At 44.5% G+C, this 14,042-nt stretch overlaps 1 protein-coding gene across 5 annotated transcripts in view; it reads left to right on the plus strand.

Moving 5' to 3' along the window:
- The first annotated feature begins 865 nt into the window (after window positions 1-865).
- Window positions 866-14,042, plus strand: part of MAPK4 (mitogen-activated protein kinase 4) — a 172,215-nt gene continuing 159,038 nt past the window's right edge. For 3 of the 5 annotated variants that reach the window (NM_002747.4, NM_001292040.2, NM_001292039.2), the window contains exon 1: window positions 1,341-1,497. The gene's annotated coding sequence lies outside the window, so the exon portion shown is untranslated. The other 2 variants (XM_017025839.3, XM_011526076.3) reach the window with 2 other exon arrangements.

Here is a 14,042-nt window from a genome sequence, read left to right on the forward strand (position 1 = left end):
CACACACTCGCTTGTTACACACTCCTTCCTTATCCCTAACTATTCTCTGAGGTTAATGAAGGTCCTGATAACTGCAGTCTCTAACTTAGCATATCATCCTAAACCTACTACCTGCACACATAGGAGTCGCAGCGCAACTATGTACTAATGGCAGCCAACACTCATTACCCTTCATACCACCATCACTGTGCAAACCCTTAGTGCATTTTCCAATATGATCCCACAATCCTTCATTTTTATGTTTTGCCCACGCTAAAATTCGACAGCGAATTCTTGCAACAATTATTAAGCGTCTGGAATTGTATTAGGGTCTGGGGGTAGAGGTGGGGGACGAAGCGGGAATAACTGCAGTACACAGCAGACCCTATGAAAGTGCCAAAACGCAGGTCTCACTCGGAAGGCTTTGGGAGTTGGGAGAGGAGAAGGCTCATGGGCAGCTAAAGCCACCAGTGACCTCATTATGCAATATTTAGGTTATCAGACTTTTCTATGCCTAGAAAAGCAGCGCCTCAACCATTCCAACGGGACGCACCGCGTTCAGTGACGACCCTCATCGGTGCCCACAGCTCTGGGCTCGCTGAAGGCACCACAGAAGCACCAGTTATTACCAGTGTTAGGGTCCAGTGGCTTCTTCTGTCCCTTTCCTCTGGATCCCAAAGTGTTGGTTCTCTTTTGTTAGTTTTATTCCGGTCATGCCAATGAGCACAGATTCACAGCCCAGGCGGCCCGCTCGGAATCCCAGGCCGGCTGGGGACCGGTGCACTTGGGCTCCGCGCCCCCTCGACCCTCGGCCCAGTGCCCCTTCCCGCGCGCGCGGGTCTCCCCGGTTCCAGAGCCCACCGGTCCCCGCCGGCTCCTTCTCCCCACCCACCCTCCCACCGGGCCCCCGGCGGCTGCAGCCGCGCGGGGCTGGCGGGGCGGCGACCGGGCTCAGGCAGATCCCCGCTTCCCGCCTTCTCGGCGCCCCCTCCCTCCCGGACGGAGCCCGAGGATCCCCCACCCACGGCGGGCGTGAGGAAGGGCTTCTGAGTGACTGGAGCTCTACCGCGTGTGCCCCGGGAAGGCCAGGCTACCCGGGACGGGGCTCGGCTCCCCAGGTGAGCTCGTCTCCGCGGGACTGGGTCCGGGAAGGCCCCAGGACCGCGCGGCTGAGCGGCCTGGAGGCTGCGGGAGGGCAGAGCAGGGCGCGCGGGAGACTGCCGCCCCCGGGCGCCCAGGGCCCGGCTCCCCAGCGCCACCGCCGCAGCAGGTGGGGGCCCAGTGGGCGGGGGCGGGGCCCGGCTCTGGGCGGAGCCGAGGCGGCGGCGGCGCAGGCTGGGGCCGGGGCCGGGGCGGGAGCCGGAGCCCGAGCTGGAGCAGCGAGCCGGGCTGTCGGGGCGACCGCGGGAGCTCGCCGTGCGCCGTGGCTGGGACCGGCCTGGCCGAGCGCGCCGGCGCCGCGGCCGCAGACAAAGGGCGGCTCGCGCCCGGGCCGCCACGCTCTCGGGCTCTGCCTCGGTAAGTGGCTCCCCTCCGCTGGCTTTCTCCTCCCGCCGCCTGCGCCTCTCGGAGTTCGGCGGGCTCCGGAGAAGCGGGGAAGAGATGAGACTTCCCCGCCCGCACTGCCTCCCCACCTTACCCTAACAATAAGCCCCCCAGGCCAAGCCACTGCCAAACTAGCGAGTTTCCGAGCGGCGGGGGTCTCCCGCGGGACCCGCCCGGCTGCCCTGGGTGAGCTCCTCGCCTGCAGACCGCGCGCCGGTGCTGTCCTGGACCCGTTTGGGATGGGAGGTTGCCGCTGGGCTCCTCGCGTTGTGTTTAGGGGAGGAGGACGCAGGGGCCGGGCGCCGCTAGGGGACCCCACCCCCGGGGACAGTCCGGAGCGCTTGGGGTCGCCGAGGGGCAGTTCACACTGCGAGTTCAGATTCGGATCGCAGTCCCGATTATCCTCCCCTCCAGCCTCTCCCTTTCTCGTTGAAGGGTTAATACAGCGTCCTCTCCCCTCGCCACCCGACAGAGGCGCCTACACTGGCGGTAGGTAGCCCCTGGGAGAGGGGGAGTGGGGGGACCCCGCCGCTTTCGCCGCTGGGCGACCCAGAGCCCCAGCCTGCCGGAGAGGGCAGCGGCTCGGGTTTGACATCCCAGCTGGGTCCCGGGCCGGCTCCCTGAGCCTCCTCCCGGGTTGCTCTCTATCAGGAAAGCAATCGGAAGTCAGGCCGGCTTTTGCTTTTGTTCTGCCAGCTACTCTACGGAATCGTAGGTGAAGCCGGGGTGGGCGGATGCCCCGGGAGGGGGCTGTGGCGGGAGTTCCAGGTGCGTCCCCGAAATGACCATTGGAGGCGGCGGCTGTTTCCCGCCCCTGGGTGGGGAATGGATTCCGATCGCTAATCGATACCCTGGAGCCAGCAGTGGGTCAGCAGCGTCCCGACAGAGCGCAGCGGCCGCGTACTGTCACGCGCCTCTCCAGCACTCTCGAAAGCACTACCTCGAGACGTGCATTTCCATTCATGGATCTGTGCCTGGGGGTTGATTAATGTCACCCCTGCCTGGGTTGAGGAGTGTCCACAACTGCTCAGTAGCCATTTACTGGGAGGTTACTGTGTGCAAGGCAGCTATCTTAAATAACCTTAATGTAAAATATACTTATTGAGCACCTACTATGTGAAAAGCAGGTATACTGCAGACTTTTCAATTGAATGGATATGTATTGAGCACCTACCCCGTGCGAAGGTGAAGCGTCATGACGTTCTCAATGTAACAGATATTTATTGAGTACCTACTATGTTCAAGATAGCTATGCTATGACCTTATTGTAATATGTATTTACTGAGCACCTACTAAATACTAAAGGCTTTTTTGCTGAAGGGTTGCCCAGTGTACTTTTGGGGTACGGATAGAAACAAGGGAGAGAAAATATAATATCTTCTGAACCTCGAGTCTTCAACTCCTTTAGTGACCTGCGTTTTAACCTTTCCAAACCGCTTGTGTGGTGTATGAAGGGCTAGTCTTCTACACTTGAGGGTACACTTCTATGCTTGAGGGTTTGTCAGACAGGAGCAGGGCTGAATAGTAAAAAGGCTTGCTCTGGAACCTCTTTCCAATTCAGTTTCCTTGCATTAGAAAAGTCAGCCTCTTTGCATAAAGCACCATGGAGTTATCACAGGGAATCAAAGGGCAATAAGGCAAAGCCCTAATGCTCAAAGGGACAGAGAATCCATGCTGGAGACAGACAAAAAGACACCTCCCTTTTAATGCTACTGTCATACCGTGCTTAAACAGCTATTGTGGGAATACTCAGTGCTTTAAACTAAATAACAAAGCAACCTTGGATCATCTGATCCAGAAGTTCTAGACAACTGACCTAACTCCTAGAATTCTGCTTTTGAGCAGTGAGGGATTAATTGTAATTTTTCTTCATGTCAGAAATTAATTGCATGTATTTTTCAATTACTAAAAAAAAGCAAACAAATAGAAATTAGTGATTTGTATTAATCCAGAACCTAATCTGCTTTAACTCAATTACTCCAGATGCGTGAATCTCCTGTTGGGTTGGTTGCAAGTTGACTCAAATTCGTTGTTTCACTTTTGCTGCAGGTTAAAAGTCTGCCTCTTACAAACCCTGGCTATATCACCCTCTTGTTTCTAACTAAACAAGATTTTCTCAAATAAACTTCATTCTGCATTTTGGCCAATAAAAAAAAAAAAAAAAAAGACACCTCCTAAACAAGGAAGGAACCAATAGGGGAAGGGAGAGGGAAGCATGAAGACAGGGCCAGCTGAACCTTCCAGCCCCTCACTCCAAACTGATACCAGTGATGTTGGGGTGAGAGAGTCTAAGTCCCATCATTGCCCATGGCTGGGGCCCTAGGACTGGAATTAAATAGTTTTCCTGCTAAGAGATTTGATGAATCTGTTACTCTGATAATCTTAGGATCTTGAGATGCACTGGAATATCCAGATTGGCGAGAAAATCATATCCATTAGCAAATATTTGAGTATTTACAATGCAATATAGGCATTTATCAGGGAAATGTAGTCTAAGACGTAGTCTTTGTCTTAAAGAACTCTGGTTCATGAGATAAACATGTAAAATGACAACTTGGGCAGCATATATGAAAAGCCAGGAGCAAATTCCTCCTGGAATTTGACATAAAAAATATTCTCACCACATGGAACTGTGGTTTTTCTCTTATCAGACATTGAGAACTCTCTACGTGCCTTGTATGTTTATCTTTTTGCCTTGGCCTCTAGAAATTCCTGGTAATGGCTTTATCCCAGCTTCTTGGTACAATGATTTTTTTCTCCCTAAATTATTTCTGAGACCTCTCTTTTAAATTCTTTATAAAAAACTATATTACAGGATTTTTGTTGTGAACTTGAAAGCCTCTCTGAAATCTTTTCTGTAAGTAAGCCCGTTATGAAAGATACATAGAAAATATGGTAAGTATTAGATGAATGTGCTCATAAGAAAAGGGGGAAAAACTATCCGGAATTTACAGAGAAAACAAACGGGCTTTGCAAGATGAAATAGGATTCAGATGGGCAAAGACAACTAACAAAGACTTTCCTCCCAAATTGAGGGAAATAGCGTTGGCAAAGGTGTCAAGGAAAACAAACCGAATTTAGAGTACTTTAGGTATTTGATAGATCTTCCTCTGGAATAGTTTCCATTCACTCAACACACGAGTGCTGCTGGAACATTTTACTGTGTCAAGGACTAGGCTAGGTGTCAGGTGGGGGGCATCACCCAGAACCAATTGAGGTTCAGCATGATCCCACAGCTGTCAAGGACCTTTGTCTCCTGTCCTGGCTGTGGGGTAGCACTGCCCTGCATCTCAGCCATTCTTTCAAGCATTCCTGGAGTTTTTTCACCTGAGCTGAACTTGACTGTAATCTTCTTCAAGGCCAAGAATGTGACTTTTTTTTCTCTCTGCATCCCTCCCTCCTTGCAGGTTCAGGCAGAAAGAGTCGGTAGGGTAGGTGACACTTATTTCAGTGACCTCTATTGCCCATTTCGTCACTCCTTCCTGGCCTCATCAGGGCCTGCTATGCTCTCTTCCTCTCCATCATTTTCAGCTGTTGAGAGCCTTTCACTGTATGCAAACTGGTCTCAGGGGAAAACCAATCTGTCATCGGTCACTTTCTCTTAAATATGAATGTAGGTCACTGTGTTCTCTCTTCCAGGGGTCTTTGCACTTTAAGCCTCATAATGGAATGAAAGGCTGTGTTCACCATGAGACAATGTCAGGCACAGACAAGTGGGTGTTGGAGGTAATTGGGGAGGCAAAGTGACTTTCTTGGTGCTCCTGAAACCACCACCCCCTCACATAGCCAGTCTTGGCAAGGGTCCTTGCAGTCCCATGATTCTTGAAAGTCTGGAGGCTTCATTGCTGTTTATCATGGTGCAGTGGTTGAAGTCAGGTAGTGGCTCTCTGTGAGCCACCTGTCAGCTTGGCCCTCATACATTCCACTCCAAAGTTTAAAGCTTTATCGTTTGCAGGGAGAATCCTTGCTTCCTTACCTATATGTGCCCATTATTTTAAGGCAGCTATTCTCAACCTGGGCACTATTGATGTTATGGGCCAGATAATTTTTTGTTATGGGGAGCTGTCCTGTGCATTACAGGGTGCTTAACAGCATCCCTGGCCTCTACCCCCTAGATGCCAGGAGCACTAAACACCAGCCTGCTCCCCAAGTTGTGACAACCCAAAATGTCTCCAGCCATTGCCAAGTATCCCCTGGGAAACAAAATCACTGCTGCTTGACAACCACTGTTCTAAGGGTTATTGGTTATTATGTATCATGCCATATAAGAGAGGCCTTATCTAATGTAATTCAATTCTTTTCAATAAAGAGGAACTATTACATGTGTAATTAACATGGCAGAACTTTTCATATAAGTAATTTCATAAATTAGAATAAATATCCTTTTTTTCAGACCTGATATCCTAATCTGGTTATTATATTAAGTTCATCTTTTGAAGCATAAAGCCTCAAATTCTTCTTTTTCTAGTGTGGCTGATTTATATACCACAACTGTGGGTAGCAGAACCGCCATTACCCACAAGATCATCCCCGCCTGCTGCTTGGGCAGTGCCTGGTAACCACCAGTCGGGAAGGAAAATGGCAGAGGAGGATTCAGTTCTGGTGGACTTGATGCTTATGTAATTTGATGGACCCTCTTTAAGGAAACGACAAAACGATAAGGGGAGCACATTGCTAGGACCCCTCCCAGGCCTTGGAAGGGTCCTGTGAGGACAAGTGATGGGCTCTGAATTTAAGTTTCATTAGCTTCTTGGGAAAGCAGTCTTTGGGAAAGCAGTCTTTGGGAAAGGTTTTGAGGAATGACTGGACAGCTGTGTTTGCAAGAATAGGAAGCTAGTCCTACCTGTGACTGATAGGAGCTAAGAGAATGTTCTCAAAGTATTGACTTAAATTGAGAGCACAGATCAAAATGGAATTGTTAAACCTAGGGTGACCTATACTTCTGTTAACATCTGCCCTCAAAAGTAAGAACTTCTGTATCGTCAGCAGCCCCAGGTCCACATGAGCAGCATCATAGGTGAAATGAGGGGCAGGGATCGTTCCGGTTTAGCAGGAGGCTCTGTGTTCCACTAGTGGGTAGTAGTAACTTACTGCACCTTGTAAACGAGGTTGGTCAGTGCTGAAGTTACTGCCTCGGGAAATGAATGAAACTCTTTTTCAGGTCACTCTAATGGTATTTGAAGAGTTTATAACAGGAGTACGTTGATTCAAACTTTTCTTTTGGAATACCTGAGCCTGGGATGAGATGTCCTTGCATTAAAACAGGCCAGGCAGGAAACACTTGCCCCCTCATTTTGGGGAGCAAGTAATTTAAGTACAGTTGTGTGCTACATAATGACATTTCAGTCAATGAAGGGCTGCATGTGGGACTGTGAAACTGTAAGATTATAATACTGTATTTTTCCTGTACCTTTTCCATGTTTAGACATATTTAGGTGTACAGATACTGACCACTGTGATACAGTTGCCTACAGTGTTCAGTACAGTAAGCATGCTGTACAGAGTTGTAGTCTAGGAGCAATAGGCCATACCATATAGCCTAGGTATGTAGGCTATTCCATCTAGGTTTGTGTAAGTATGCTCTATGATGTTCCCATAACCAGGAAATTGACTAATGATGCATTTCTTAGATGGATCCCCATCATTAAGTGATGTATGACTGTATGACTTTAAGAACTTAAAATAATAAGGCTTTAAAAATGAAACTATAATTCAGACTTCTCATTAATTAATCTTTTTCCTTAGTTTAGATCACCTTAGCTTCAGTGAGGAAGACAGTGTTCTAATTGTTGCTTTAGTGTAGAAATGTTAAATATAAATGCCTGGCCCTGCACAAGACTGATCTGGCAATGTATCAATGTCTAGATTTAACAAAAATTAAAAATAAGAAATAAGAAACACTCTACATGAAGATTTGCTGTAGGAGGGATTTCTTTTAAAGCATTGCTAGTCTTTCATTTGTATTTAAACAGGTCTGATTTGTATAAATTTTTCGAGTTGAGACCTGTTTGGAGATCTTAGGTCAAATGTGCACACAGTCACAGAAATTAGACCTGAAAGAGATTTTAGGGGTTTCTGGCCAGCCTTGCTTGCCCATTGAATAATTGGAGAAACTGAGGCTGAGAGTGGTTAGATGGCTTGCCAAGGTCACACAGAGATCAGCTGGGAGGCTGGCGCAAGGAGCCAGGAGCTCACCCCATCCCCTTGACACTCAGTGCTGCTGGGATACCGTTCTTCTGTCTTCCTGGTTGTAGAGTGTGTTGGTGTAGGGAGACCAGGCAGGAAAAGGGTTTGATAACTTGTCTCATTTCCAGGGCACCTGATCCTCAAAGAACTACTCATTAATTCGAACTGATTACATCTATGCCAAAGGTGTGTGTAAACACAGGCAGTACTGAAACTATCACAGAAAAATTGAGACGGTTCAATTGGTGGAATGAGACTATTTTATAAAAACTTCCTTTATTGCTTTTTTTGTATCATCTTTACAGTAAATAACTAGAATAAAAACATTTATTTGTCTATTTAAAAAAGTAATATATATTCATTATGGAAAGTGGCAAGAAGAATAAACAAATCCTACCGGTGATCCTGTGATACTTTAATCCCATTCGTATTTTGCTGTGTATTTTTAGTGTGTTTTTCAGCCCATTTTCAAGCTCATTTGAACAATTGAGACCATATTGTACATATAATTTTAATTTTTCTTGCTTTTTTATTAGAATAAACAATGTATGTGTTATTGTGAACATAATTTTTGTGAACATAAATTCTTTGTGAACATAATTTTTTTTTGTCTTTCCACAATGTCAGAGTTTTATTGATGCTTTTTTTTTTTACTTTAAGTTCTGGGATACATGTGCAGAACATGCAGGTTTGTTACATAGGTATACACGTGCCATGGTGGTTTGCTGCACCCATCAACCTGTCATCTACATTAGGTATTTCTTCTAATGCTATCCCTCCCCTAACCCCCACTCCCTGACAGGCCCTGGTGTGTGATGTTCCCCTCCCTGTGTCCTTGTGTTCTCATTGTTGTGAACATAATTTTTCATGTCTGCATAATTCAATCCTTAGAAGCTCGTTAATTTACCACAACATTTTGCTATTAGTGAACATTAAGTTTGCTCCTAATTTCTCCCTGCTGTGTCATTGCATGAGCAACTTTGTGTCTGTGCTTTTTCTACAATTTGGATTGTTTTCTTGGTATACATTCCAAAGAGTGAAATTACTGAGCCAAGGATGTGTATGCATTGTGTTCAATGGCTTTACCAAAATGGTGTACCAGTTTACCTTATATTGATAGCATACTATAAATGATGAAATTTCACCACACCATTGATAACATACTTGTTTTGTAATTACTTATGTGACAAAGTAAAGGTGTCTTTATTGCTTTCATTTACATTTTGCTTACCAACACAGCTAAACATTTTTCTATAGAATTTTTTATAGGACTTTGTGTGTGTGTGTGTGTGTGTGTGGGTGGGTGTGGTGTTTGTTGTTGTTGTTGTTGTTGTTTTGGTGAATTATCTATTTGAGTGTAGTGTTTTTTTAAAAAAAAAAAATGACCTGTCATTTGTCAAAAGGAAAAACAATAACCTCTGATCTCATAGGTATAGTGGCCATTTTATAAAGAATTCCGGCTGGGCGCAGTGGCTCACGCCTGTAATCCCAGCACTTTGGGAGGCCGAGGCAGGCTGATCATGAGGTCAGGCGATCGAGACCATCCTGGCTAACACGGTGAAACCCCGTCTCTACTAAAAATACAAAAAATTAGCGGGGCGTGGTGGCGGATGCCTGTAGTCCCAGCTACTCGGGAGGCTGAGGCAGGAGAATGGCATGAACCCAGGAGGTGGAGCTTGCAGTGAGCCGAGATCGGGCCACTGCACTCCAGCCTGGGTGACAGAGCCAGACGCTGTCCCAAAAAAAAAAAAAAAGAAAAAAGAAAAAAAGAATTCCATACAACCCTCATGTTCCATGATTCCAACATCTTCAGTTCCATGTTTCAGGCTAAACATTTTGTTGATAGTCATAGAGCTGCTTGTTAGTTCCTGAAGCAAGCTTAGATGGAGAGATAGAGTGCTTTATCCTCTTAGTGGAAGCCAAATTACATCGAGCATTTGCTAAGTGCTTCTCAGGCCTTAATTCTTATTCTTACAACAGTCTCTGAAGTGGGTACTGTCACGTCTCTCCATTTATACATGAGGAGAGTGTTGCCTAGAAAAGTAAAATAACGTAACCACAGTCACATACACTTTTAATAACTGCTAACTACCTCTGGATCTTTGCTAACATGGCCTGCCTCAGTTATGTACTTGGTCTTGGAGGGAGTTAGGGTTAGGAATATTAGAAACTTCATCTGAACTCTACTGCCTATTTCTGGGAGACTTTGTGGTGCAAGTTAATTTTACTATCTTAAATTTCCTCACTCTATCTTCTGTATCTCTTACCCTCCCCTGTGTTTGCCATCCTTTTCTTTTAATCTCTCCAAGATACATTCTGAATAGTTTCTTCTGACCTGTCTTCCAAGTCACAGTGTATCTCTTCAGCTGTATCTAATCTGTGGTTAAATCCATCATTTATTGCATTCTCAATCTTGATTACTGAATTTCCAGTCTAGAATTCTAGTTATTTTTCAAATCTGCAATGTTACTTTTTATGGGTCTTGGTTCTTTATTGTAATTTTTATGTTGAGCTTTTAGCTGCATGAGCATAGTAAGCATAATTGTTTTACATTCTGTATCTGGTAATTTTTCTATCTGGAATTCCTAAGCATCTTTTTGTCCTGTCTTTTGTTTGTTCTGGTTCTCATGCTGGTTCATATTTATGTTGTCATGTCTCCTTGTGTGCCTCATTATCTTTAAATGTGTGCTGGATATTGTTTTGAAAAAATATATGTAAGAATACCATGTGTCATTCATTTTAAGATGTACAGTGTTTTTATATTTTAGTCTCTGAAATCAGTATGTGTTTTATGTCATGAATTTTTACACTTCTAGTTGACAGCATTTTTTCTTTTTCACTGGTACATAAAATCATAGTGCTTCATATAATTAGTGATATTTAAAACTTCAGGACATTTGATAATTTGAGACTTTGGATAATCATAATAAAGATGACAAGAGTTCAAAAGAGAATTTTAATTAACTTCTTAAGGTTTTCTGGGGTATCAGCAATAGTGGGTCAATTTTGGGGCTTCAGATTTTCTAGATCACCCAGATGACATGAAGCCAGACTAGTTTACTTTTTGTTCTGTCTTACTTCTAGGGTCTATCAGAGGGTGTCCAAGGGAGACAATACAGTCGTGGGTTCTTAGTTTCCATTTCTGGTTGGGCCAGTAAAGCCCCTTCCTCATCCTTGTTTTCCGCTTATCACTAAAGATAGAAACTAAAAACCATGGCTTCAGGCTGCTAAAAGCCTAAAACAAAACAGAACAACAATAACAACAAAATAAGGTGGGTTAGACAAGCTTGGAGCTCTTTGGGGTCCTACTCTAAATGTAAAGCGGTTTACCAGGCCTCAGGGAGGCCCTGGCCTCTTGATTCCATGAGGCCGTCAATACGCTGCTCAGCTTCCTAGCTTCCTATTTTGGATTGACAGGCCCAGCCCCTCCAACTGGGTAAAAGCAGCCCCTAGTACTGAGGCCTACATGTCTAGATCTCTTTCTTTTCTCACATCTTAAACCTGAAATTCCTCCCTATCTTGTTAGCTTTTTGGTGCTTTTAGGAAGGTTTGTTGTTTGTTTGTTGTTAACCTCATCCAGCTTTCTTTGTTGTGTTCACTGGGAAAGTTGGCTCAAATTACCCAGTTCACTGCTGGCAGGAGGTGGGACCCAGTCAGATCATCTTAGAGACTGACAGGAGAGAAACACAAGTGACCAGCTGCTCTTTGCCTGACTGTGACTAGAGAACTTTATCTGCTCCCAACACAACACCCTGGTTGCAGCTGGAAAGCAGAAGTTGGGATGGATATATTTCAACTAACTGGACATAGCCACATGTAGATATATTTCCCTGCATAGATGAAACTAATTCCTCAGGCTGTTCCTAATAAGGCAGGTGATGTGGCTGAGAAGGCAGTCACAGGAGTGCTACCTGGAGCCCCATCTCGAACCTGCTTCTTCTCACCTACACTGTCCTGCAAAAGATGGGAATGTAGGACCAAGGGAAGTGTTGAGGCAGGAAGATGTTTTCTCTTTCAGCAGCTTTTAAGAAGTAAAAACTGTAGGCTGTATTTTAGCTGGGTAAGTTTCCTTCCATTCAAACTGGACCCCAAAATGTTCATGTTTAAGGCAGAACTTCTCTTCCATGGCCCAGACAATTCCTTGCAGAGGCTGAACCATCAGATCCAGGCTCAGGAGTCAAGACAGCCTTTCCAGATGACTCTGCTTGATGCTAAGGTTTGGAGCTTTATGATAGTTTTTGGCTTTTAGAATGCTTTTCTGCATGCTCAACCACGTGTTCTTGGAATCAGCAGCCACATCTATTTTCCCCTTACTTTCCTCCAACTCTTCCCCCAACTTTCAAGAAGCCAGAGAAGTTTACAAAAAGCAAAGTGTATTTCCTGAGTTTGAAAAGGCTGGACAAAGGGAGCCTGAGTGGTGGGAACTTCTCATCCTCCACCTTACCAGAGCCTCCATTGGTTTTTGGGGTGTGGGAGTGGGGTGGTGGCGGCTTTTATTTTTATTTTTGAGTACCTTTTTCCCTGGAAATTTTAGAGCTGAGCTATCCTCTCAGAAAATCACTGTCTGCCCAGGGAACCATAGCCTCCTCCCTCACCCTTCAGGTGTGTAATCATTGGGTAAAGAGAAGGGAGGTGTGGGTGTGCCCCTCTAGAAAGGGCCCTGTCTTAGGGGGAGGTATCCCACTGACTTTCTGGAGACCACCGTATACCATGGAGCCTTTTATGTATTCCACAATAATTTACCCTGCGGATTTTTAATTTCACAGTACTTCACACATAGGAAGGACTATAGAAAAATTAGTCCACCATATTGCTAGAAATAGAAATCCTCCAATTCGATTTCAGTAACTGTCCATAAAAGAACAAATCTGTAACCCCACTCCCAGGTAATTCTAGATTGTGACCGAGCCTTTGGAAGAAATGAAAAATGAATTAATTAATTTTGAAGAGGCAAATTTTCTGTTCTCCTAGAAGATGTGCCCTTCCATGATTATTTTTGGAGGCAGAATGGCCAGAAAGCCCTACCAGCCATAAGAATTTATGAACCATGACATTTGAAAACTTTCAGCCTGAGATGAAGTAAATTAATTCCTCCAGCATGATTCACTTTAGGTACAAGCCCAAATTTCTTTTATCAGTAACTTGGGCTCTTAAGGTGATTTTTCTAAAGAGATATAGTTATTTGAGACCCATCAGGGCCATTTTCTGTATTTCTTTTGTCAAATTTTCCATTTATGTGGATTTGAGTTTTTTCCAGTTATTTCGAGACCATCTTGTCTGCTAATAAGAGATAATATGCTGCCTTTTCAATAACATATGTGAAAGCCACAGGGAGTTCAGACAAAGTTAGCTGAGCAAATTCCTGTACTTATCAGAGACCATGACATCACCTTCAGTATGCGGTGGGCTTTTTACCAAGTGTCCAGCACCTTTAAAGAACTCAGAATGGTAAAGTATTATAGCTCATTCAATAGAAAAAAGGAACAGAGAAGTTCAGAAATCTGAAATGATTTTATTTGTAAGAGGAGAATAAGGAAGATGATTACTGTAAATCACATAGGAAGAGGAGGTGAGAAATATGTAACAATGGTGTAACTATGGTGGATTGCTTTTAGCTTTCCAGATCAGAGGTGAGAAAATGAAAAATTTCTTATGAATTATTATGAAGTTTCAATACTTGCAGTGTAGGACTCGAAGAGGGCTTTAACGACCCAGCCATCTGCTGTGTAATAAAGCCAGTGAAATATGCTCCATCAAAATGACACAGAGAAGAACGTTAGGGTACACAGAGTAGGAGCGAGAGTTTTTTACACTATGAATGAGAATATATCTAGTAAGTAGTTCTGGGTATGTTGTGGCCTGAATAACTGTCCATTTTTTTATACTTTACTATTTTCTTGAGCTGAATGGAGACTAAGGACAAAAGAAAGAAGACTCAGGTCATTATGAAGTTTGTTGGGTCTCTGCATGATTCCAAAGTGATAATGCTCTCAGTTGAAGTACTTAGTTAAAAGCTCAAAGTCTTGTTTCCATATGTCTATACCTGCTGTCATTTTTCAAAAGTTATTCAGTGAATTTGTTAATACTGAAACCCCTCCTTTCTTATCAGCAGTCTTTCTTCTGAGATTCTCATAAGATTCTCAATCTTATGAAATGCATTTCTGAACTAGAGGCAGTAAAAAAAAGTCCGTTGTCTTTTCTTTCCAGTTTATTCAGAAGCAAATCTCCAGAATCAAAAATCTATCCACCATTTACCTGCTGAATTTTCTCCCTTCGTTAACCAACAAACAACAGTGTTTTGCTCTACAATTTGAGTTCAGGATTTGGCTTCT

This window comes from Homo sapiens, chromosome 18 (assembly GCF_000001405.40).
Source record: "Homo sapiens chromosome 18, GRCh38.p14 Primary Assembly".
Lineage (NCBI taxonomy): Eukaryota > Metazoa > Chordata > Mammalia > Primates > Hominidae > Homo > Homo sapiens.